General features: G+C 41.7%; 1 pseudogene, besides 4 other annotated features; it reads left to right on the top strand.

The window, feature by feature from the left end:
• Positions 8,631–8,832: a silencer, noted in NCBI's record as "fragment chr6:71326667-71326868 (GRCh37/hg19 assembly coordinates)". NCBI's record gives its function as "represses an EF-1alpha promoter that drives an FKBP-Casp9 reporter gene in an ReSE screen in K562 erythroleukemia cells {active_cell/tissue: K562}" and the evidence as "EXISTENCE:reporter gene assay evidence [ECO:0000049][PMID:32094911]".
• Positions 15,930–16,446: an enhancer, noted in NCBI's record as "H3K4me1 hESC enhancer chr6:71319053-71319569 (GRCh37/hg19 assembly coordinates)". NCBI's record gives its function as "activates a minimal SCP1, AML or CMV promoter by ChIP-STARR-seq in naive and primed H9 embryonic stem cells {active_cell/tissue: H9 hESC(naive and primed)}" and the evidence as "EXISTENCE:reporter gene assay evidence [ECO:0000049][PMID:30033119]".
• Positions 16,371–18,038, top strand: LOC642590 (spermine synthase pseudogene; annotated as a pseudogene).
• Positions 16,447–16,964: an enhancer, noted in NCBI's record as "H3K4me1 hESC enhancer chr6:71318535-71319052 (GRCh37/hg19 assembly coordinates)". NCBI's record gives its function as "activates a minimal SCP1, AML or CMV promoter by ChIP-STARR-seq in naive H9 embryonic stem cells {active_cell/tissue: H9 hESC(naive)}" and the evidence as "EXISTENCE:reporter gene assay evidence [ECO:0000049][PMID:30033119]".
• Positions 24,341–24,905: an enhancer, noted in NCBI's record as "OCT4-NANOG hESC enhancer chr6:71310594-71311158 (GRCh37/hg19 assembly coordinates)". NCBI's record gives its function as "activates a minimal SCP1, AML or CMV promoter by ChIP-STARR-seq in naive H9 embryonic stem cells {active_cell/tissue: H9 hESC(naive)}" and the evidence as "EXISTENCE:reporter gene assay evidence [ECO:0000049][PMID:30033119]".

The raw sequence follows: 26,496 nt of genomic DNA, 5'->3' as shown, positions 1-26,496 counted from the left end.
GAGCTTGTGGTGCCTTTCTCTCCCATTGCTTTTTCTTCTTTCCCAGAGAAACCTGGCTTCTGTTGAGTGAGAATCTGGACCTGATGGTGATGCTACCATCTGTCAGAGGGAGTCAGCTCCTCTGAGATCTCTTTAGCTCTGGAAGCTCTGGTTACCAGAGCCATGGTTCACCTCCCTCCTCCCATCACCCAAAGCTCCAAATGCTCCCCAAATGTAGTAACTCTCTCCAGTAACATCCTCTCCAACAATTTCTTCCAAGCAGAGTAATTCCTCAAAATTGTCTTTGAAACCAGAGCAGGTGGGTTTCATTTCAGTTACTGTATTTTTCACTTCTAGATGCTCTCATTGCTTTTCATATGTGCTCTGGCATGGTTTATATTTTTGCATTCAGCAAATATGTTCAATTTTTCATTTGTTTAAACATATTGAACTTATAGTTAACTTATAATCAATGTCTGGTTGTTCTACTCTCTGAAGTATGTGTAGGTCTGTTTTTGCTTTTGTTGTTTCTTCTGGTTCTTGCTCAAGTTACCTTGTTACCTTGTGGACCTGGTTATCTTCAGTTGCTGGTCATTATCTTTGAAATATTATCTGTAGAATTTCTCTGGGATTGAGGATAAAGGTCTTGTTTTTGTTTGCTTCTGCAGATATATGGTGGAACTAGCAGCTGGGAAACCACATCATACCAAGTTCAAGACTCGAGGTTCCTTGGCTAACCCTGCATTCCCAATCTCTGAGGCTGATCTCTGGCACAATTCCTCAAGAAGAGGGTGTTTTGGGTTTGCTGTGGGTGTGTGCATGTGTGTTCACGTGTGCATGTGTAAACTTTCCTTCGATTTTTTTTCCTGCTTTTCTCAGGCCTAGTCTATATTCCTCTGAGTTTGAAAGAAAAGGATGAATTTAGTTCCACTTCAACCTAACCCTAAGAATATATATATATATATATATATATATTTTTTTTTTTTTTTTTTTGAGACTGTCTCACCCTGTCACCTAGGCTGGAGTGCAATGGTGCAATCTCGGCTCACTGCAACCTCTGCCTCCTAGGTTCAAGCAATTCTCCCGCCTGAGCCTCCCAAGTAGCTGGGATTACAGGCATGCACCACCACACCCAGCTAATTTTGTATTTTTAGTAGAGACTGGGTTTCTCCATGTTGGCTGGGTTGGTCTCAAACTCCTGACCTCAGGTGATCCACCCACCTTGGCCTCCCAAAGTGCTGGGATTACAGGCACGAGCCACCGTGCCTGGCCTAACCCTAAGAATATAGTCTTTTGAAAGGCCTGGCATAATGTAGGGAGGGTCTCTTACAAATTGAGTGACCATACAATCTAGTTTGCTCAGCATAGCCCTAGTTTATACCTGTTGTTCCAATGTAAGTATTAATTATACTCCCTGTATTTGTATATATGTGTGCATATGTATATGTATATGTCAATGTGTGTATGTATATGTGTGTGTGTGTGTGTGTGTGTATATATATATATGTTTATTATTAAATTGGCTCTCACTGTTATGGAGGCTGAGAAATTCCACAATTTCCCATCAGTAAACTGGAGACCCAGGAGAGCTGATGGTATAGCTCCAGTCTGAATTTGAAGGCAGGAGAAGCTGGATGTCCCTGACTGAAGACAAGCAGAGACAGCAAGCTGTCCCTTACTCAGCCTTTTGTTCTAGTCAGGCCTTCAGTGGATTGGATGAGGCAGACCCACCCTGGGGAGTGCAATTGGCTTTATTTAGTCTACAGATTCAAATGTTAATCTTATCCCAGAAATACCTTCACTGACATATCCAGAATAATGTTTAACCAAGTATCTGGGCACCACATGGCCCAGTTAAGTTGACATATTAAATGAACCATCTGACCTCCTTCACACCCAAAAGATCCGATTTGGACAACAAATCATTTAATCACCCTTAAAAGATTCCCCACCTTGGGTAGGTCCTGGGCCTTGACAAATATGTTAGGGCCAAATAGCTTCGCTGCTCTCATAGCCCACTTAGTGCTCTGTCAAGTAATTCCCTACTACCTCAATAGCACTTGGATGCCTTTAGGGTGATCATGTATGTGTGTGTTGGGTGTGTGTGTTTAAGTTTTATCTAGAGTTTGTCATTGCTTTTAGTAGATAGGTTAGTCCAAAAATTAATACCACTCAGCCCATTATTACCATTATAGATAGGTCTACGTACCTGTTAGCTGGAACTTGAAACCAGTTTTTCCATAGGAACTATAATAAGTGAACTTTTAAGTTCTATATGTTAATGAAGCTCATTTACAGGTTAAATAGTCTATTTTTGCCTGGCTACCTATCCTTACTTCTGTTTCAGAGGCAAAACAAATTCCAAGTTCCGAATAGCCAACTTAAAAACAAAATGATTCAGAGGCAGAGATGAACTCTATGTATGTTTCAGATGTTTAAACTTGTTCCATCTCACATTATCTAAAGAAAAACATTTTTAAAATAATGTGACCACCCTTTCAAATCCTGGATGCCCGACAGATGAGGCAGCTCTGACTGAAATGCCTGGGCAAAGTCAGGGCAGCCACCCTGCCCCTTCCCTCCTCCCAGAGCCCGGGCTCTTGCAGACTCCTCCCCACCAGTGTCCACGGAACACTATTTGCAATAAAGGTGAATGGTTAAAAATAAATGAATATAATAAAATAGTGGAATGCAATATATCCAGGTAACAAACCTGCTCAGGTACACTCTGATTCTAAAATAAAAGTTGAAAAAAAAAGTGGGAGAGACAGTAAAAAAATAAAATAGTGTAAAAATGAAGGAGTGAAAGTCTGTGTTATATAACTTCCCTGTATATAATTTTTCTAGTAATTCAGATTTGAATGCCCTCCTCCCAGTATGGAATTTAGTTTGTATCGATACTTTTAAAACCAATAAATAACTGATAAACTCTATGGAAATGATTTGCAACTAGGCAATTAAACTGCCAATGCTTATATTTCTTGGTGTTAGGGTATGATACACAGATGGTCCCCAACTTGCAATGGTTTGAAGTCCTATTTTTAGACTTTACAATGGTGTGAAAGTGATTACACATTCAGCACAAACCATACTTCAAATTCTGAATTTTGGTCTTTTCCTGGGCTGGCAGAGCATGGTATGATACTCTCTCATGATGCTGGGCAGTGGCAGTGAGCCACAGCTCCCAGCTAGCCATGAGATCATGAGGCTAAACAACTCATGCTTGCAGTATACTCTGTTGCCAGCATTTTCTGGATGTTGTGTTTTGTGATTCACATTTCATCATGTCTACACAACGCCCAATTTTGACATGATATTTTCAACCTACAATGGGTTTATTGGGATGTAACTTTATCCTAAATTGAGGAACATCTGGAGTGCTAAATGCCTTTCAGAAGGCAATAATAGATACTGTAGGGAAATGAATTCAATCTGATAGCTTCTAGGGCAAACAAGCAGTTGTAGTACTAAGTTAATAGTGTTAACCCAGGTGCTGGAGGCCAAGATAACATATTCAGGCAAGTATGTATAGAATGTATCATTGACTACATCCCTTTAAGTTCTGTATGGAGTTAGGAAAACAAACGGACTTGAGAATTTTGGGAATGGAGGCTAGCAACTCACTTCTAAAGTTAAAAAGATATTTGCTTGACTATCAGTTTCACCCATGTCATATTATACTTCACAATGGCTAAACACAGAGGAAAATATGACGTTAGTGATCGAACATATATTTCTCAAATAAAAACAAATTCAAACCAGAAACTTTCTTTTCTAAGTTAGAGATATTTTAAATTTAGTATCAAGAGAAGCAATGGTGGATGGGGAGAGTTAAAAGCACCAGCCAAGATATCTAAGCTCTGGCCTTGGAAAAAGCAGCTGCCTAACCTCAGCTAGGTGATGTATTAATACCTGTCTCTGCACCTCTGTTTACTCAGCTGAACACTACTTTCAACATCTAATGCCTATGATCAGAATCTGATAGCTGTGACTCTTAGACAAATATCTTACCCTCATCCTGCGTCCGTCCTCAAATACATAGTCTCATTACTTGAAAGATAAACCTGAGCCAGGTGAGGTGGCTCACGCCTGCAATCCCAACACTTTGGGAGGCCATGGCAGGTGGATTGCTTTGAGCTCAGGAGCTCAGCATGGCCAACGTGGCGAAACCCTGTCTCTACCAAAAAAAAAATATATATATATAGATCTCTCTATATATAGATCTCTCTATATATAGATCTATATATAGAGAGATCTCTATATATATAGATAGATAGATAGATAGATAGATAGATAGATAGATATAGATATAGATATAGATATATATCCGGGCGTGGTGGTGGGCACCTATAATCCCAGCTACTCGGGAGGCTGGGACAGGAGAATGGCTTGAACCCAGGAGGCAGAGTTTGCAGTAAGCCGAGATTGTACCACTGCACTCCAGCCTGGGCGACAGAAGGAGACTCAGTCTCAAAAAAAAAAAAAAAAAAAAAAAAAAAAAAAGGATAAACCTGATCCACTCTGGTTCTACTCTTCAGCAATAGACTGGAGGCACAGCTCTCAGTTCTTAAACAACTGAATCCAGGCATGATTCTATGGTTCCCACCCGCCTCCTGTGCTCTTTTACATTCGTTAAAATAATTAATTGGGAGGCATTAAGCTGAGACAGCTCCAGTGCCTTGGGTTCCTACCTAACTGAAAGCAAACTGAAAACTGAAGCCTAACTCAGCATGAATGGTTATAGCCTAAGAAAAACAAAGCATAACCTTAACCAATTAGAAATGACCAACTAACCTCAACTGAGGACTTTCCATTTAACTAATCAAATATTTTCTTTGTCTTGCTTCTGCAAATGCATTATACAGGCATACCTCAGAGCCCAGAGATATTGTAGGCGCAGTTCCAGACTATCACAATAAAGCAAATATTGTAAAAAAAAAAGTCATATAATTTTTTTTTTGCTTCCTAGTGCATGTAAAAGTTGCCTTTACACTGTACTGTAGTCTGTTAAATGCACAATAACATTAGGTCTAAAAAATGTACATACCTTAAAAATACTTTATTGCTAAAAAATGCTAATGATCATCTGAGCTTTCAGCAAGTGGTACTCTTTTTGCTGGTGGAGAGTCCTTGTTTGATATTGATGGCTGTTGATTGATCAAGCTGTTGGTTGCTGAAAGCTGATGTGGCTATGGCAATTTCTTAAAATAAGACAATGAAGTTTGCTACATCAACTGACTGTTCCTTTCACAAAAATTATTTCTGTAGCATGCAATGCTATTTGATAGCATTTTACCCTCAGTAGAACTTCTTTCAAAATTGGAGTCAATTGGCCAGGCGTGGTGGCTCACCTGAGGACAGGAGTTCGAGACCAGCCTGACCAACATGGTGAAACCCCATCTCTACTGAAAATGCACAAATTAGCCAGGCGTGGTGGCACGCACCTGTAATCCCAGCTACTCGGGAGGCTGAAGCAGGAAAATCTCCTGAACCCAGGTGGCGGAGGTTGCAGTGAGCCAAGATTGCACCATTGCACTGCAGCCTAGGCAACAAGAGTGAAACTCCATCTCAGAAAAAAAAAAAAATTGGAGTTAATTCTCTCAAACCCTGTCACTTCTTTATTAACGAAGTTGATGTAATATTCTAAATCCTTTGTTGTCATCTCACCAACGTTCACAGCATCTTCATCAGCAGTACATTCTATCTCAAGAAACCACTTTCTTTGCTCATTCATAAGAAGCAACTCTTCATTCAAGTTTGATCATGAGATTGCAGCAATTTAGTTCCATCTTAAGGCCCATTTCTAATTGTAGTTTTCTTGCTATTTCTACCATACCTGCAGTTACTTCCTCCACTGAAATCTTGACCCCCTCAAAGTTATCCATGAAAGTTGGAATCAACTTCTTCAAAACTTCTGTTCATGTTGATATTTTGACCTCCACCCATGAATAATGAATGTTCTCACTGCCATCTAGAATGGTCAATCCTTTCCAGAAGCTTTTAAATTTACTTTGCCCAGATCCATCAGAAGAATCACTATCTATGGCAGCTATAGCCTTACAAAATGTATTTTTAAAATAATAAGACTTGAAAGCTGCAGAATGGATGTTGTGTTGTGGGTATTGAAACAACATTAATCTCCTTGTACATCTAAATCAGAGCTCTTGGGTGACTAGGTACATTGTCAGTGAGCAGTAATATTAGGAAAGGAATCTTTTTTTCTGAGCTATATGTCTCAACAGTGGGTTTAAAATATACAAGAGACTGTGCTGTAAACAGATGTGCTGTCATCCAGGCTTTGTTGTTCCACTAATGAAGCACAGGCAGAGTCGATTTAGCATAATTCTTGAGTGCCCTAGTATTGTAGGGAAGGTAAATGACTATTGGCTTCAACTTCAAGGCACCAGCTGCATTAGTTCCTAACAAGAGACTCAGCCTGTTCTTTGAAGCCAGGCATTGACTTCTCCTCTCTACCTTTGAAAGTCCTAGATTGAAAATCTGTTGTTTAGTGTAGACACCTTCATCAGTGATCTTTACTAGGTCTTTTGGATAACTTGCTGCAGCTTTTCCATCAGCACTTTCCACTTCACTTTGACTTTTATGTTCTGGAAACAGCTTCTTTCCTTAAACTGCATGAACCAACATTTGCTAGCTTTGAACCTTTCTTCTGCAGCTTTCTCACCTCTCTCAGCCTTGACAAAATTGAAGCGCAGTGGCTCACACCTGTAATCCCAGCACTTTGGGAGGCCAAGGCAGGTGGATCACTTGAGGCCAGGAGTTGGAGACCAGCCTGGCCAACATGGTGAAACCTTGTCTGTACTAAAAATTAGCTGGGCATGGTGGCACATGCCTGTAGTCCCAACTATTTGGGAGGCTGAGGCAGGAGAATAGCTTGAACCCAGTAGGTGGAGGTTGCAGTGAGCCAAGATTGCACCACTGCACTCCAGCCTGGGTGACAGAGCGAGACCCAATCTCAGAAAAAAAAAAAAAAATGGAAGAGAGTTAGGGCCTTGCTCTGGGTTAGGCTTTGGTTTAAGGGAATGTTGTTGCTGGTTTGTTCTTCTGTCTAGACCACTCCAATTTTCTCCATATCAGCAATACATTGTTTTGCTTTCTAATCTTTTTTTTTTTATTTACTACAGTAGCACTTTTAATTTCCTTTGCATTCACATCTTCGCTAACTCTTTGGCACAAGAGGCCTAGTTTCAGCCTATCTTGGCTTTCATTATTTTATTTTATTTTATTTATTTAGAGACAGAGTCTCACTCTGTCACCCAGGCTGGAGTGCAGTGGCACCATCTTGGCTCACTGCAACCTCTGCCTCCTGGGTTCAAGTGATTCTCCTGCTTCAGCCTCCTGAGCAGCTGGAATTAAGGCACATACCACCACGGCTGGCTAATTTTATATTTTTGTAGAGATGGGGTTTCACCATGTTGGCCAGGCTGGTCTGGAACTCCTGACCTCAAGTAATATGCCTGTCTCGGCCTCCCAAAGTGCTGGGATTACAGGTGTGAGCCATCATGCCTGGCCCCTATCTTGGCTTTCGACATGTCTTTTAATGCATTTAATACGTTAATAAGTTATGGCTAATAAAGGTTTAAGTAAATGAGTCAATTAACCACAGTAATTTTCCCTCAGTTTGCTGTGGATATTTTCAGACATTGGATCACTCAAAGCCCTCAGGGAGGGTGTGGGAATATGTGTGTGTCTGTGTGTGTATACACACACACTTAAACATAAATTGATTTTCTCCTTGTAAACTGATCCTCAATTCAGATTGCTAAAACTGCCTTGATGACTTTCTATTAAAATGGGGATGAAGGTCCATTTCCTACAGCCCCATCATCTCACTGTTTAAAGGGGAATTTAAAAAAAAATTCAATAAGTAAAGTGGTTTAGCAATGTTATTGATAACTTGTTGTATTGTCAAATGTAACTGATATGCATTTATATAATTTATATAGTTTTGTAGATATAGTTTATTTATATAGTTTTATAGTTTACCTTACTTCTTGGATTTTTCCTCTGTGCTAGATGCTCTGATTACAGAACAGTATAGAGAGGTTTCCATTTTGTCTCTGAGTGGGAGGTTGCTATTTATGGTATTTAAAATATTGCAGACAGATTTTAGTTTTAAAACTAAGGAATTATCAGTGATGATATTTCAAATGCATTTGAGCAGAAATGAGGCACTTCTCTGATTTTTATATAACTGGAAGAAAAAAATCTGGACCCCCCCTCCCACCCCATATTCTCAGCTCCTAGGCACTAACCCTACAGAGGAGAGGAAAACATTTTCCTATCCCTTCCCTGCTGCTTATCTGGGCCAGTAAGGCAGTAAGTTCTCTCTACACATTTTATATAGGATGTATTTTTTAAGTGTTAATATAATATTTTGTTACGAAGCATGCTGGCTAGGAGTGTGTAGCACTTTTGACTAGGAAGTAACCTTAGTTTTTTTTTGCCAATGCACATATATTTCATAAATGTTTTGATTGGGAAAATAAAAGGAGAGGAATATGAGGACTGTATTCGTCAGGGTTCTCTAGAGGGACAGAGCTAATAGAATAGGTGTGTATATCAACGGTAGTTTATTAGAAAGTATTGACTCACATGATCACAAAGTGAAGTCCCACTTGAAGTCTGCAAGCTGAGGAGCAAGGAAACCAGTCCAAGCTCCCAAAACCTCAAAAGTAGGGAAGCCAACAGTGCAGCCTTCAGTCTGTGGTCAAAGGTCTAAGAGCCCCGGGCAAACCACTGGCATAAGTCCAAGAGTCCAAAGCTGAAGAACTTGCAGTCTGATGTTTGAGGGCAGGAATCATCCAGCACAGAAGAAAGATGAAGGCCAGAAGACTCAGCCAGTCTAGTAGTCCATGTTCTTCTGCCTGCTTTTATTCTAGCAGTGCTGGCAGCTGATTAGATGTTGTCCACCCAGACTGAGGGTGGGTCTGCCTCTCCCAGTCCACTGGCTCAAATGTTAATCCCCTTCCGCAACACCCTCACAGACACACCCAGGAGCAATACTTTGCATCCTTCAATCCAATCAAGTTGACACTCAATATTAACCATCACAAGGGTAGAACACTAGCAACTGTGAAAAGTAAATAAAAGAATGAGGCACTTGGAAACAAAAAACAGCCAGTGAGAAATGAGTAGAATGCAGATGGTCCAGGGTATGTTATTTGTTGTTGTTTTTTGGGTTTTGTTTTGTGTTGAGATGAAGTCTTGCTTTGTTGCCCAGGCTGGAGTGCAGTGGCATGATTTGGCTCACTGCAACCTCTGCCTCCCAGGTTCAAGCAATTCTCCTGCCTCAGCCTCCAGAGTAGCTGGGACTACAGGTGAGTGCCACCACGCCTGGCTGATTTTTTGTAATTTTAGTAGAGACGGCATTTTACCAAGTTGGCCAGGCTGGCCTCGAACTCCTGAGCTCAGGTGATCTGTCCACCGTGGCCTCCCAAATTGCTGGGATTACAGGTGTGAGCCACCGCACCAGGCTGGCCCAGGGTATGTTAAAAACAGGGATGCCAAGTGTAATCACCTGAGTATGCCCCCATACACGCAGGGGCAGAATCACCAAATCAGTCCCCCCAGAGAATTGCAAGCACAGTCATATTATTTGTGGGGTGGGAGTGGAGTGGGGGTGGCTTCCTTCTCCTCTTCCAGGTTGTATAAGTGTCCCTAGGTGGGCACGGTGGCTCACGCCTGTAATCCCAGCACTTTGGGAGGCCGAGGCGGGTGGATCACCTGAGGTCAGGAGTTCAAGACCAGCCTAGCCAACATGATGAAACCCTATTTCTACTAAAAATACAAAAATTAACTGGATGTAGTGGCATGTGCCTGTAATCCTAGCTACTTGAGAGGCTGAGGCAGGAGAATTACTTGAACCCAGGGGGGCAGAGGTTGCAGTGAGCTAAGATGTCACTTCACTCCAGCCTAGGCAAAAAAGCAAGACTCCGTCTCAAAAAAAAAAAAAAGTCCCTACACAATCTAGAAATTTGGGGGAGGGCTTCTGGTCTACCACTAATCACTGCTGGGCATAGTCATCCAAGCCTGCTTGGCCCATTCAAAGGCGGGTGGCTGCCTTCTCCATACCAGGCTTGGTACAGGGATCTTGTGCTGTGGCTCTTGGTGGGTTGAGTTGTGTATGTCCCCCAAAAAGATATTTTGTGGCACTAAATCCTGGTACCTCAGAATGTGACCTTATTTACTGGAATAGGGTGGGCCCCTAATACAATATGACTGGGGTCCTGTTGCAGTCACTTGCACACAGCCGGTGTGCATGTGAAGACAGACACTCGGGGAGAACACCAGTGACTACAAAGGCAGAGATGGGAGTTGCGCACCTGCAAACCAAGGAATGCCAAAGATTGCTGGCATACCATCAGAAGCTGGGAAGGGGCAAAGGATTGCCTTTCAGGTTTCAGAGGGAGCATGGCTCTGCTGGCATTTTTGGAGTTCTAGCCTCCAGAACTATGAGATGTCACATTTCCGTTGTTTTAAGTCGCGTGGTTTGTGGTAAAGCAGCCCTAGACAACTAATACAGCTTTCAAGGTTGTGGATCTTGGCATTTAGCCCCCAGGAATCCCTACCCTATCCCCTCGAAGGTGATTCTACCAGGGATTCTGCCTGGCAGGAGGTACGAATGGGCCATACTCCCTCTTTAAGCTAAAGTCTGGGTCCTCTTCCCCTCCACTTCAGAGGTGGTCCAGCTTAAAGCCCCCTCAAAGGATGTGAGTCACAATAGCTCTTTACTTCCCTGGTGGAGTAAGAGGAGTAAAAAAAAGAAGTGGGACCTTCAAAACACAATACCGGCCTCTCTTTCTTGGATTGGTTGGAGGGACAGAGAAACTATTCTTTCCTGATGAGGCCACAGTAACTCAAGAAACATCAAGAAATAGCCCACTGGTTTGTTTGTTTGTTTGTTTTCTTAATATCTTAGCCCGTCATGTTACCCAGTGTGCAATTGTTTCCTGTCCTGTGCTGTCTTAAGCACAATCTCAGTCACCCAGACCTTCAGTGAGAGGCTGGCAGGAGAAACTGGGGGCATCAGGAACACAGCAGTACAGGGAGGTGTGGCCTCCTATCACCGTCCTGTAGACCATGGCCAGCGTGGCGACATCAGTATCCCACTGAAGGGACACAGACGGGGCTGTAAGCTGCAGAGGGCAAGGGGGACACATGTGCATCGGCGACTAACCCACACACCGTCCTGCAGCAAACCCCCTTCCCAAACTTGCTAGTGAATGGCGACCCTTAGCAGGAAGAAGAAGGTATCCACTTGGGTTACGGTTACATTTTACAATAGACAGGGAACTCTGAGAGACTGTATGCTGAATAGTTAGTGAGAGATTTGGGCTGGAATGGTGGCTGACACATGTGTGATCCCGGCACTTTGGGAGGCTGAGGTGGGTGGATCACTCCAGGTCAGGAGTTTGAGACCAGCCTGCCCAACATGGCGAAACCCCATCTCTACTAAAAATACAAAAATTAGCCGGGCGTGGTGGGCACCTGTAATTCCAGTTACTTGGGAGGCTTCAGCCCAGAGTGGCTTGAACCTGGGAGGGGAAAGTTGCAGTGAGCCCGAATCACGCCACTGCACTCCAGCCTGGGTGACAGAGCAAGACTCTTTCAAAAAAAGAAAGGAGGAAAAAGAAAAGCTGTGAGAGATATGTTTAAGGAATAAAGCTGTCCTCGAAGAGCCTAATCTCCACTTTTCCAAGAACTGGAAACAAATTACATAATACAAGAGGACTGAACCAATAATAATAATTTTCCTGAATATAAAAGATGATGAAACTTTTGAATGTATTTGCTACAATTCAGCCAGGCACGGTGGCTCGCACCTGTAATCCCAGCACTTTGGGAGGCCGAGGCAGGTGGATCACTTGAGGTCAGGAATTTGAGACCAACCTGGCCAACATGGTGAAACCCAGTCTCTACTAAAAAAATACAAAAATTAGCCAGGCGTGGTGGCGGGCGCTACTTGGGAGGCTAAGGCAGGAGAATCGCTTGAACCCAGCAGACGGAGGTTGCAGTGAGCCGAGATGGCGCCACTGCACTCCAGCCTGGGTGACAAAGCGAGACTCCATCCCAATAAAATAAAATAAAATCCATGAAATCATAGCCCTTGGTCTTTAAAAGGAGTATGCTGTAAAACTGGAGGACTGAGAACCAAGGAGTTACTATCCTGCTTACAACAGGATGTTTGATCTCCATGTAATTATGAGTATTATGAGTCTAAAATAAATACCTTGCAATACATGAATACAAGCACAATCTTCCTAAACTTAAGATGAAACAAAACCTTAAGAGAACAAGATCTTTTTCTTTTTTTTTTTTTTGGTTTGCAGTCAGATCAGTTGTTTCTCAGAAAATATACACTTTAAAAAATTCATTGAACTTTCAGTACTCTATCCCTGGGCCAGTGCCTCCTTCATCTGGCAATACCCCTACTCCCCGCACCCCCACCTACCACCCTCAGCTAGTCAGACTGCCCAGCCAGGGACCCATCTCTGAAATTTGCTTTAATTCCTCTACATCGGGCCAGGTGTGGTGATTCACACCTGTAATCCCAGCACCCTGGGAGGCTGAGGCAGGTGGATCACTTGAGGTCAGCAGTTCGAGACCAGCCTGGCCAACATGGTGAAACCCCATCTCTACTAAACATACAAAACAAAACAAAACAAAACAAAACAAAACAAAACAAAAATAGCTGGTGGTGCATGCCTGCAATCCCAGCTACTCAGGAAGCTGAGGCACGAGAATCATTTGAACCCTGGAAGTGGAGGCTGCAGTGAGCCAAGATCATGCCACTGCACTCCAGCCTGGGCAACAGAGCAAGACTCCATCTCAAAAAAAAAAAAAATTAATCTACATCAAAATTTACACATCCAGTCTGAAATCGTTTGCCTTAAAAAACAATTTGTAAGGTGATAAATTAAACAAAGTGAATAACTGTTGATAAACATTGACAACCATTAAATTTGGGTGATGGGTACATGGGGACACACAGTATACTATTCTACCTTTCTGTATTTTGAAAATTTTATAAGCTTAATTAACAATAAAAAAATGACATTTCTGATCTCTTTCCACAAGAGATTGCTTAAGGCCAAGTGGCAATGAATATGTAAAACACAATTAGCATAGTCTCATAAGATCCACAAATTCACTTGCACCTTAATACCTTAAACTGTGACAGGTGTGCATGTAGAGGGCCAAATGAGCATGCCTCCAATGTGAGGAAAATTGTAAAGTTCAGTGGGGAAAAGCTTGGAGAAAAGAAAGTTTTCTGAGAGGGCTTAAATTAAATCATGATATGTAGGTCTTAAACTGGTTCTGAGTGTGCCCTAAAAATGTATCTAGTAGAAAAATAGGATATGTCTTATGCTTCAATTACTGGAATAGCTATGACATTTCACGCCTAAGCATCTTTCCAGTGACCTGACTCTGGAGTGGTGGCTTGGTTCCCTTGACCGACTGCAGAGGGGGTGGTGTGGAGGTGGGTAGGGGGCTGGATTTGTAGGGAATCAACGGCCCCTCATTTGCCCATCGGTGATCATGCCTGTCAGGCTGCTACACGACAGAAGAGGCAGCTTTGCTTTGGCAGAACATCTGAAAATGTCAGTCTTATTCTTTTCTGAAACTATTTTTGCCTTTTACATTTTAATTATTTTAAATTTTGGCACTGGCTGTACTCATAGATTGATTCGCATTTCTAGTCAATTCTTTTCAGATTTTCTCAATAAAAACTGAATACAAATAATTTGGAGTGTTCTATTAATTGTGAAAAGTTAGTGATGTTGAGCATTTTTTTCATGTTTGTTGGCCATTTGTATATCTTCTTTTGAGAATTGTCTATTCATGTCGTTAGCCCACTTTTTGGTAGGATTGTTTTTTTCTTACCGATTTGCTTGAGTTTGTTGTAGATTCTGGATATTAGTCCTTTGTCAGATTTATAGATTGTGAAGATTTTCTCCCACTCTGTGGGTTGTCTGTTTACTATACTGACTGTTTCTTTTGCCGTGCAAAGACTCTTTAGTTTAATTAGGTCCCAGCTATTTATCTTTGTTTTTATTGCATTTGCTTTTGGGTTCTCGGTCATGAAATCCTTGCCCAAGCCAATGTCTAGAAGGGTTTTTCCAATGTTATCTTCTAGAGTTTTTATAGTTTTAGGTCTTAGGTTTAAGTCCTTAATCCATCTTGAGTTGATTTTTGTATAAGGTGAGAGATGAGGATTCAGTTTCATTCTCCTACATGTGGCTAGCCAGTTATCCCAGCATCATTTGTTGAATAGGGTGCCCTTTCCTCACTTTATGTTTTTGTTTGATTTGTCAAAGATCAGTTGGCTGTAAGTATTTAGGTTTATTTCTGGGTTCTTTATGCTGTTCCATTGGTCTATGTGCCTATTTTTATTCCAGTACCATGCTGTTTTGGTAACTATGGCCTTATAGTATAGTTTGAAATCAGGGCCAGGTGCAGTGGCTCATGCCTGTAATCCCAGCACTTTGGGAGGCCAAGGCGGGTGGATCATGAGGTCAGGAGTTCGAGACCAGCCTGGCCAACATGGTGAAACCCCATCTCTCTAAAAATACAAAAAAAAAAAAAAAAAATAGCCAGGCATTGTGGCAGGTGCCTGTAATCCCAGGCACTCAGGAGGCTGAGGCAGGAGAATCGCTTGAACCTGGGAGGCAGAGGTTGCACCGAGCTGAGACTGCACCACTGCACTCCAGGCTGGGCAACAGAGAGTGAGACACCGTCTCAAAAAATAAAGAAAGAAAGAAAGAGAGAGAGAGAGAGACAGAAAGAAAGAAAGAAAGAAAGAAAGAAAGAAAGAAAGAAAGAAAGAAAGAAAGAAAGAAAGAAAGAAAGAAAGAAAGAAAGAAAGAAATCAGGTAGTGTGATGCCTCCAGATGTGTTATTTTTGCTTAGTCTTGCTTTGGCTGTGTGGGCTCTTTTTTGGTTCCACATAAATTTTAGAATTGTTTTTTCTAATTCTGTGAAGAATGATGGCAGTATTTTGATTGGGGTTGCGTTGAATTTGTAGATTGCTTTGAGCAGTATGGTCATTTTCACAATATTGATTCTGCTCATCCATGAGCATGGGATGTGTTTCCGTCTGTTTGTGTCACCTATGATTTCTTTCAGCAGTGTTTTGTAGTTTTCCTTGTAGAGGTCTTTCAACTCCTTGGTAAGGTATATTCCTAAGTATTTTATTTATTTTTTTATTTTTGCAGCTATTGTGAAAGTTGTTGAGTTCTTGATTTGATTCTCTGCTTGGTCGCTGTTGATGTATAGAAGAGCTATTGATTTGTGTACATTAATTCTGTATCCAGAAATTTTGCTGAATTCTTTTATCAGTTCTAGGAGCTCTCCAGAGGAGTCTTTAGAGTTTTCAAGGTAAATGATCATATTGTCAGCAGTGACAGTTTGACTTCCTCTTTGCCAATTTGGATGCCCTTTATTTCTTTCTCTTGTCTGGTTGCTCTGGCTAGGACTTCCAGTACTATGTCGAAGGGGCTTGGTGAGAGTGGGCATCCTTGTCTTCTTCCAGATCTTAGACAGAATGCTTTCAACTTTTCCCATTCATTATGATGGTGGCTGTGGGTTTGTCATAGATGGCTTTTATTACATTAAAGTATGCCCCTTGTATTCCGATTTTGCTGAAGTTTTAATCATAAAGCGATGCTGGATTTTATCGAATGGTTTTTCTGCATCTATTGAGATGATCATGTGATTTTTGTTTTTAATTCTGTTTGAGTGGTGTATCACATTTATTGACTTGTGTATGTTAAACCATTCCTGCATCCCTGGTATGCAACTCACTTGATCATGGTGGATTATCTTTTCGATATGTTGTTGGATTCAGTTAGCTAGTATTTTGTTAAGGGTTTTAGCATCTATGTTCATCAGCAATATTGGTCTGTAGTTTTCTTTTTTGGTTATGTCCTTCCCTGGTTTTGGTATTAGGTGATGCTGGCTTCATAGGACAAATTAGGGAGGGTTCCTTCTTTCTCTTTCTTGTGGAATAGTGTCAAAAGGATTGGTATTAATTCTTCTTTGAATGTCTGGTAGAATTCTGATGTCAATCTGTCTGGTCCTGGACTTTCTTTTGTTGGTAACTTTTTAATTCCTATTTCAAACTTGCCACTTGTTATTGGTCTGTTTAGGGTATCTAATTCTTCCTGATTTAAGCTAGGAGGGTTGTATTTTTCCAGGAATTTATCCACCTTTTCTAGGTTTTCTATTTATGTGTATAAAGTTACTCATAGTAGCCTTGAATGATCTTTTGTATTTCAGTGGTGTCAGTTGTAATATCTCCTGTTTCATTTCTTAGTGAGGTTATTTGGATTTTCTTTCTTCTTTTCTTGGTTAATCTTGCTAATGGTCGGCACTCCCCACTGGCCGCAGCCTGACACGCCACGCGGCCCCCCAGTCTCCTGCCGCCCCTCCCCCAGGCATGGCACAGGGCCTCGCCTCACTATGGCAGCAGCACGGCACAGCATGCTCGACTTCACGCTCGGCGCCAAAGCTGATGGTGAGACTGTTCTAAAAGGCCTCCAGTCCATTTTCCAGGAGCAGGGGATGGCAGAGTCGGTGCACACCTGGCAGGACCATGGCTATTTAGCAACCTACACAAAAAAGAACGGCAGCTTTGCCAATTTGAGAATTTACCCACATGGATTGGTGTTGCTGGACCTTCAGAGTTATGATGGTGATGTGCAAGGCAAAGAAGAGATCGACAGTATTTTGAACAAAGTAGAAGAAAGAATGAAAGAATTGAGTCAGGACAGTACTGGGCGGGTGAAACGATTACCACCCATAGTGCGAGGAGGAGCCATTGACAGATACTGGCTCACCGCCGATGGGCGCCTGGTTGAATATGACATAGATGAAGTGGTATATGACGAAGATTAATCTTATCAAAATATAAAAATTCTACACTCGAAGCAGTTTGGAAATATTCTCATCGTTAGTGGGGATGTTAATTTGGCAGAGAGTGATTTGGCATATACCCGGGCCATCATGGGCAGTGGCGAAGAAGATTACACTGGCAAAGATGTACTCATTCTGGGAGGTGGAGATGGAGGCATATTGTGTGAAATAGTCAAACTAAAACCAAAGATGGTCACTATGGTAGAGATTGACGAAATGGTGATTGATGGGTGTAAGAAATACATGCAAAAAACGTATGGCGATGTCTTAGACAATCTTAAAGGAGACTGCTATCAGGTTCTAATAGAAGACTGTATTCCGGTACTCAAGAGGTACGCCAAAGAAGGGAGATAATTTGATTATGCGATTAATGATTTGACAGCTGTTCCAATCTCCACTTCTCCAGAAGAAGATTCCACATGGGAGTTTCTCAGACTGATTCTTGAACTCTCAATGAAAGTGTTGAAACAGGATGGGAAATATTTTACACAGGGGAACTGTGTCAGTCTGACCAAAGCACTGTCGCTCTGTGAAGAACAGCTGGGGCGCCTGTATTGTCCTGTGGAATTTTCAAAGGAGATTCTCTGTGTCCCTTCATACTTGGAATCGTGGGTATTTTACACTGTTTGGAAGAAAGCTAAACCCTGACGATCAATAGCCCCTAATCACATGTGCTGCAAATAGCCTTCCTGACCTCCATATGCTGTACATGACATCGAAATGAGTCAGGCAATTGATTGTGAATTCCTTAAAGTTTTCCTTTTTTTAATAATTATTTTTAATTTAAAAAAGCAAATGGAAAATGTATATTTTGATGAGCTTAGGGTGTTATTTTTTTGAAAGTCAGATGAAGGATGGTTAGACAGCACAGCGAAGACTGCTAAATGCACTGATCCCCCCATTAGAATGTGATTTTTATTCCTTTTTATTTCTCTGTGGGCTTTTGTTTTTGTTTTGGTAGACCTTCAATTTGGATATTTGGAGGAGTGAACATCATTGTTTTGCTGGAGGGAAGATCTTGATGGTGTTTCTTTTCCCAAAAATTGACTTAGATATTAAAATTTGGTGCTTATAAGAGAAAGTTAAAAAAATAGGATTACTTCAATTAAAATTACAAAAGAGACCAAAAAAATCTTGCTAATGGTCTATCAATCTTATTTATCTTTTCAAAGAACCTGCTTTTTGTTTCATTTATCTTTTGTATTTTTTTTGTTTCAATTTCATTTAGTTCTGTTCTGATCTTGGTTATTTCCTTTCTTCTGCTGGGGTTGGGTTTGGTTTGTTCTTGTTTCTGTAGGTCCTTGAAGTGTGACCTTAGAATGTCAGTGTGTGCTCTTTCAGTCTTTTTGATATAGGTGTTTAGGGTATGAACTTTCCTCTTAGCACTGCCTTTTCTGTGTCCGAGAGGTTTTGGTATGTTGTGTCATTATTGTCATTCAGTTTGAAGAATTTTTTAATTTCCATTTGATTTCGTTTTTGACCCAATGCTCATTCAAGAGCAAGTTATTTAATTTCCATGTATTTGCATGGTTTTGAAGGCTCCTTTGGATCTCCAGTTTTATTCCACTGTGATCTGAGAGAGTGCTTGATATAATTTGAATTTTCTTAAATTTATTTAGGCTTGTTTTATAGCCTATCACATGGTCTATCTTGGAGAAAGTTCCATGTGCTGTTGAATAGAATGTGTATTCTGCAGTTGTTGGATGGAATGTTCTATATATATCTGTTAAGTCCATTTGTTTCAAGGTATAGTTTAAATCCATTGTTTCTTTGTTGACTTCCTGTCCTGATGATCTGTTTAGTGCTGTCATTGGAGTATTGAATTTCCCCACTATTATTGTGTTGCTATTAGTAATTTTTTTATGAATTTGGGAGCTCCAGTGTTAGGTGTATATATGTTTAGGATTGTGATATTTTCCTGCTGGACAAGGCCTTTTACCATTATATGATGTCCTTCTTTGTCTCTTTTAACTGCTGTTGCTTTAAAGTTTGTTTGTCTGGTATAAGAATAGCTACCCCTGCTTGCTTTTTGTGTCCATTTGCATGCAATGCCTTTTTCCACCCCTTTACTTTAAGTTTATGTGAGTCCTTATGTGTTAGGTGAGTCTCTTGAAGGCAGCAGATGGTTGGTGAGTTCTTATCCATTCTGCAGTTCTGTATCTTTTAAGTGGAGCATTTAGGCCATTTACCTTCAATGTTAGAATTGAAATGTGAGGTACCATTGCATTCATCGTGCTGTTTGTTTCCTGTGTACTTTGTTTTTTTTTGTTTTTTGTTTTTGCTTTTTAACTTGTATTTTTGTTTTATAGGTTCTATGTGATTTATGCTTTACACAGGTTCCATTTTGATGTGTTTCCAGGATTTGTTTCAAAATTTAAGAGTTCCTTTTAGCAGTTCTTGTAGTGGTGGTTTGGTAATGGTGAATTCTCTCAGCATTTGTTTGTCTGAAAAAGACTGTATCTTTCCTTTACATGTGATGCTTAGTTTTGCTGGATACAAAATTCTTTGCTGATAATTGTTTTGCTTGAGGAGGCTGAAGATAGGGCCCTAATCCTTTCTAGCTTATAGGATTTCTGCTGAGAAATCTGCTGTTAATCTGATAGGTTTTCCTTTGTAGGTTACCTGGTGCTTCTGTCTCACAGCTCTTAAGATTATTTCCTTCATCTTAACTTTGAATAACCTGATGACAATGTGCCTAGGCAATGATGATCTTTTTGTGATGAATTTCCCAGGGGTTCTTTGTGCTTCTTGTATTTGGATGTCTGGGTCTCTAGCAAGGCCGGGGAAGTTTTCCTTGATTATTCCCCCAAATATGTTTTCCAAGCTTTTGGAATTCTCTCCTTCCTCAGGAACACCAATTATTCTTAGGTTTGGTTGTTTAACATAATCCCAGAATTCTTGGAGAATTTGTTCATATTTTCTTTTTCTTTTTTCTTTGTCTTTGATGGATTGGGTTAATTTGAATACCTTGTCTTTGAGCTGTGAATTTTTCTTCTATTTCTTCAATTCTATTGCTGAGACTTTCCAGAGCATTTTGCATTTCTAAAATTGTGTCCAAAGTTTCCTGAATTTTTTATTGCTTTTTCTTTAAGCTATCTATTTCCTTGAATATTTCTCCCTTCACTTCTTGTATCGTTTTTTGGATTACCTTGCATTGCACTTCACCTTTCTCTGGTGCCTCCCTGATTAGCTTAATAACTAACCTCCTGAATTCTTTTTCAGGTAAATCGGGTATTTCTCTTGGTTTGAATCCATTGCTGGTGAACTAATGTGATTTTCTGGGGGTGTTAAAGAGCCTTGTTTTGTCATATTACCAGACTTGGTTTTCTGGTTCCTTCTCATTTGGGTAGGCTCTGTCAGAGGGAAGGTCTAGGGCTGAAGGCTGTTCATATTCTTTTGTCCCATGGGGTGTTCCCTTGATGCAGTACTCTCCCCCTTTTCCAAGGGATGTGGCTTCCTGTGAGCTGACCTGCAGTGATTGTTGTCTCTCTTCTGGGTCTAGCCATCCAGTGAGTCTACCCAGCTCCAGGCTGGTACTGGGGGTTGCCTGCACACAGTCCTGTGATGTGAACCGTCTATGGGTCTCTCAGCCATGGATACCAGTGCCTGTTCTGGTGGAGGTGGCAGGGGGGTGCAATGGGCTCCATGAGGGTTAGCTTTGGTTTTTTTTTTTTTTTTTTTTTTTGAGACCCAAGGTGGAGGCAGTGGTGCGATCCCAGCTCACTGCAACCTCTGCCTCTCGGGTTCAAGCGATTGTCCCTGCCTCAGCCTCCTGAGTAGCTGGGATTATAGGTGCCCACTGCCACATCTGGCTAATTTTTGTAGTTTTAGTAGAGATGGGGTTTTGCCATGTTGGCCAGGCTGGTCTCGAACTCCTGACCTCAGGTGATCCACCCATCTTGGTCTCCCAAAGTGCTGAGATTACAGGCATGAGCCACGCACCCAGCTACTTTGGTGGTTTAATGCTCTATTTTTGTGCTGTTTGACCTCCTGCCAGGAGGTGGCACTTTCCAGAAAGCATCAGCTGTGGTAGTATGGAGAGGTACTGGTGGTGGGTAAGGCCCTAGAACTCCCAAGAGTATAAGCCCTTTGTCTTCAGCCACCAGTGTGTGTAGGGAAGAACCATCAGGTGGGGGCAGGGGTAGGCGTGTCTGAGCTCAGACTCTCCTTGGGTGGGTCTTGCTGCTGTTAGGGATGGGGGTGAGATTCCCAGGTCACTGAAGTTGTGTGCCTAGGAGGATTATGGCTGCCTGTGCTGAGTCATGCAGGTTGTCAGGGACATGGGGGAAAGCCAGCAGTTATAGGCCTCACCCAGCAGTTATAGGCCTCACCCAGCTCCCACGCAAATTGAAGAGTCGGTCTCACTCCCACCGTGCCCCACCCAACAGCCCTGAATCTGTTACCAGGTGGTGGTGGCCGAGATGGGCATGAAAACTTGCCCCAGGCTACCCACCTCCCAGCTGTGAAAGAAAAGAGCTTGGTTCTTCCCCACCTGTGGAGTCTGCATACCAGATTTGCGCCTTGCCCCAAGTTCTGGCCAAGAGGCTTCTCACCCCGCTCAAATTGTTACAAAGTTCAGCTAGAGCTTTCCTTCTCCCAGTGGAGTTTTACCCCTTGCTCCTCTGGCCACTCTTCGATGGATCCCTGTGGTGCCAGGTGGGAATGGGCTGCCTGGAGACCCAGCAAGCTCCCAGGACCTTTCTGCTGCTTCCTCTACCCCTGTATTTCACTTGGCTCTCTAAATTGACTCAGCTCCAGGCAAGGTCAGAAACGTCTCCCACAAACAGACCTTCAGCTTCTCCAGTGGGATTGTGTGTTCTGGAGACAAGGGTCTCCCTTTCCCACCTCCACCGTTAGGGCACTCACAGAATATATTTGGGGTGTCTCCTGGGTCCTGCAGGAGCAGCCCGCTTCCTTCAGAGGTCTGTGGGTCCTTTCAGGATTGCTGGTTTGTTCTTGCAGTTGATCTGGAGCTTAAATTCACAATGTGAGCCTCCGCACGCTGCTGTGTCCAGAGCTGCAAACTAGTCTTGCCTCCCATGTACCATGATGATCCTTCTCCCCTGCTACACACTTTTAAACAACCAGGTCCCATGAGAACTCACTCACTATCACAAGAACAGCAAGGGGGAAGTCTACCCGTATGATCCAATTACCTCCTACCAAGCCTCTCTTCCAACATTGGGGATTACAATTCAACATTAGATTTGGGCAGGGACACAAATCCAAACCATATCAATTAGCTTGACCTCTCCCAGCCTCGTCTTCCTCAAACACCTCCCACCTTTGTCAATCATCACTTGCCCTCTGCACTTCAAGGTGGAACTTTTTACTAGCTTTCTTATATTGATATTAGAAATCTTAGGAGAGTCCAAATCTTTTAGTATTTTGAAAAATGGTGCATTTTATCTAATAACTAAAAGAATTTAATACAACACATTTTATAGCAACTTGAAGTTTTAAAGATTCTTCTCATATTTTCTAAATTAAAACAAATAGCAGGCCAGGTGCGGTGGCTCACTCCTGTAATCCCAGCACTTTGGGAGGCTGAGGCGGGTGGATCACCTGAGGTCAGGAGTTCAAGGCCAGCCTGGCCAACATGGTGAAACCCCATCTCTACTAAAAAATACAAAAATTAGCTGGGCACGGTGGCGGGCGCCTGTAATCCCAGCTTCTCAGAAGGCTGAGGCAGGAGAATCACTTGAACCCAGGAGGTGGAGGTTACAGTGAGCCGAGATCGTGCCATTGGACTCCTGCCTGGGTGACAGAGCAAGACCTTGTCTCAAAAAAAATAAAAAAAAAAAGGCATTATAGGTGTTTTTTGAATGACTTTGAATAGGATTAATTATTCTGTATCACTTAAAAGGCCTAATTGGCCTAGTTCTAGTATCCTGAGCCCAATTCCAGAATGCTGAGCTACATAAACTATTATGAGAGGGGGTTGTTTGAGAAGGAAACACAACCACCTTCTGGGTGGTGAGCAAGGATCAGGCTGTATACAGCTGAAGGAAGTTCAGTCTAGCAGGCCTAACATAGTACACATGTATATTACATATTATATTATATTATATTATATACATAAATTATATACATATAAGTTATTGCAGTAAGTAATAGGTGTTAACTCTCACATATGGGGCTCATAGCTCATAGGGAAAGGAGATCCACTGTAAAGTAACAAGAGCAGTGTATTTTATGTAGGCAGACATGGCAAGAAGGAATCCAAGAGCAGTAACTATTTAAACTATTGTTGATCAACAGGAAGTTGGCATATGGAAGAATGTCTGTAGGTAGTAGGGCTTCATTTCTCTTGAGAGAGACAATGGCAAGAGTTTAGGAGAGCAAATCTTAGAGGGATTTTGTGTATAAATAATCAAAATAAGGATCCAGTTACCCAAATTACAAGAAAGGGGAGGACAAGGTCTTAAAGCCTGCCCAGTCATTGCTCTGGAGGTCAATGTCCCAGTAATAGCAATTTGAATACTGTAACACTTTTCTATTGTTGTCTAAGAAATTACCACAAACGTAGTGGCTTAGCACAGCACACATTTATTAGTTCACAGTTTCTTTTCCACAGGTCAGAAGACTGGGAATCAGTTAGTAGGGTCTTCTGCTCAGGGTCTCACTAGGCTGAAATCAAAGTGTTGGGCAGGGCTGGGACCTCACCTGAGGTTTGGAGTCCTCTGTGTTGAACCTCATTTAGTTGGCTGGCAGAATTCACAGTCTTAAGGGGGTAGGAATGAGGTCCTTGTTTTCTTGTTGGCTGTCAGCTACAGATCATTTTCAGCTCCTACAGGCCACCCTCAGGTCTCAGCCAATGGTGCTTTCACAAGATGGCAGTTTACCTCTTCAAAGCCAGCAGGAGAATCTGCCTCCAGTAGGCTACAGCAGAGTCTTATAAAAGGTAATACGATCCCTGGAGTGACTATCCCATCACCTTTGCCATGTAATGTAGCCTAATCAAGGAAATGACGGTCCTCACAAGACTAGTAACTACAGAGTGGAGTGCTGCTGCAGACAAATTCACGGTCTCCACAACTGTATCAGCCAGCGAGAAAAACCAGCAGTGGGAAGGTAGCCTTCCCTCACATTCCCTTTCAAATCACAATAAGTGCATCTAATTGGCAGAACTTAATTTGCATGCATAACTCACTAGAAATGTAATTTGTGGCATTCTAACCCCTTCAGAATGAAAATGCTCCCCAAAAGGTTAGAATGGAGAACAAAGCCAGATGTGTAGAAGGGAAGTGTTCTGCATGCCAGCCATGACATCTACATAAGGGATAAAGGGTTGCTGCAGTGACAGGATGACCAGACATGGTCATTGTATTACGGTGCTCCAGAGAAACAGAACCAATAGGATATATAGAATCTATAAGAGATGCTTTGTTATAGGAATTGGCTCACAAGATTATAGAAGCCAAGAAGTACCACATATGCCATTTGTAAGCTGGAGAACTGGAGAAACTGGTGATGTAATTCTTTCTGAGTTTGAAGGCCTGAAAAGCGGGGAGGCCACTGGCGCAAGTCCCAGAGTCTAGAGGCCTGAGGACCTAGAGCTCTGATGTCTGAGGGCAGGAGAAGATGGATGTCCCAGCTCCAGAAGAGGCAGCAAATTCATTCTTTTTCTCCCTTTTTGTTCTTTCCAGGCCCTCGACAGTTGGATGATACATGCCCACAACAGTGAGGGCAATCTTCTTAACTCAGCCTAGTGATTCAAATGCTAATTGCTTCAGGAAACACCCTCATAGACACAGCCAGAAGTAATGTTTTACCCACTGTCTGGGCAATCCTTAACTCAGTCAAGTTGATACCTAAAATTAACCATCACAGCCAGGATTAATTAGCTGGAACAGCATTAAATGTATGACACGAGTCATACTTTTTTTTCTTTTTTAAAGTAGAGAAAGGCACTTTATGTATCTAATTTATACCTATCCTTATTCCAGAAAGGACTGAAAGAGGAGAGAAGAGCTATGTGTTGGTAGAGAAAGAAAGGGGGCATTCTAGTCAGCATTAGTCTATATAAAACTGGGCAATAAAAATATTTGGATTGTTTTGCCTAGGTGAAACATTTAGTATGTAGGTATGGAGGATGATAGAAGGCTGTGACTCATATAATCAAGGGCTCAGGTTTGATATGAGACAATCTACTCAGAAATCCTGACATTTCTGAGCAGCAGAATTAAAATGAGGGATAACTATCAAAACAAAATCTCATGTAAGCACTTTTAAAAATAAGGAATCTAGCCGAGTCACTGACTTCAGGATGAGACAAAATATGAAAGTCTTCTGACAAAGAATCCAAATTTTATATCCCATTAAAGTTTCAGATGCCAGTTTGAATACAGTGACCTCTTGTGCTAAGGAAAATACAATGTTTTAAGATAATGGTTACAGGCCACAGTCTATAACATCTCAGTTTATAAATCCAGATTTTTCCAAAGGAGCTATGAAAAGACAAGTCCTGCAAAAACACATTCCTAGTTTCTTCCTTGTGCATGTTTTCAACTTCCAATATTATAAGCTGCTTCTAAAAGCTCTTTTGTTTTTCATCCCTTGTCACACCTGCATCAATAACAAACTCCATTCTCAATCTGTCCACGATTCCTTTTTACAAGCAAGAGCTAATTAGGAGTATTTGTGGCTTCTAGGCATCAGACAAGATTCTATTTGGTAAAACTTAGTTAGAAATACACGGCCTAAATATATATAAACCTTATTCCAAAATAATATAGGATGTTACAGAATTTTAAGTAATGTTCATAAGTTATTGAGTAACCTTCATATTCATTAACCAATGCTATGTAAGGCACTAATAAATTATAGGCTCAAATCCTAATCTCTATGGAGGTATTCTTCAAAGGAAGAGGAGTGGATATTGAAGATGCTTTAGGGATTATTTAAATCTTTTTTTTTTTTTTTTTTTTTTTGAGACGGAGTCTAGCTCTGTCACCCAGGCTAAAGTGCAGTGGGGCGATTTCGGCTCACTGCAACCACCACCTCCTGGGTTTAAGGATTCTCCTGCTTCAACCTCCTGAGTAGCTGGGATTACAGGCACACGCCACTATGCCTGGCTAATTTTTGTATTTTTAGTAGAGATGGGGTTTCACCATGTTGATCAGGCTGGTCTCGAACTTCTGACTTCATGATCCGCCCGCCTCAGCCTCCCAAAGTGCTGGGATTACAGGCATGAGCCACCGCACCCGGCCTGGGATTATTTAAATCTTATTTTTACATTTTTGCAACACATTTTATATATTTTACACATCTATATTGTATGCCCCAATGAAACTGATTCTCAACTAGATGATAGTAGTGGACAAGCAACATTTGTATCTGTCTAAAATCTTTTGAACACCATCTCTATATCTGACACTTCCTCTGTGTGAAGTCTGCCTTACCCACAGAGTTCAGTAAAACCACACCTCCCGGCCTCCACTGGAGTGCAAGCATGTGACTTCAGTGTTCATCACACGGATTTATCAGTGTGATATATCCGCACAAGACAGTCATTCAGAAATGGGTTAAACGTGGTGAAAAGGATGTCACTGGGACACAGGAGTTCTGGGGCCCCTGTGG

This window comes from Homo sapiens, chromosome 6 (genome assembly GCF_000001405.40).
Source record: "Homo sapiens chromosome 6, GRCh38.p14 Primary Assembly".
In the NCBI taxonomy this organism is placed as follows: Eukaryota; Metazoa; Chordata; class Mammalia; order Primates; family Hominidae; genus Homo; species Homo sapiens.
This window is presented reverse-complemented; position numbering and strand designations above follow the sequence as displayed.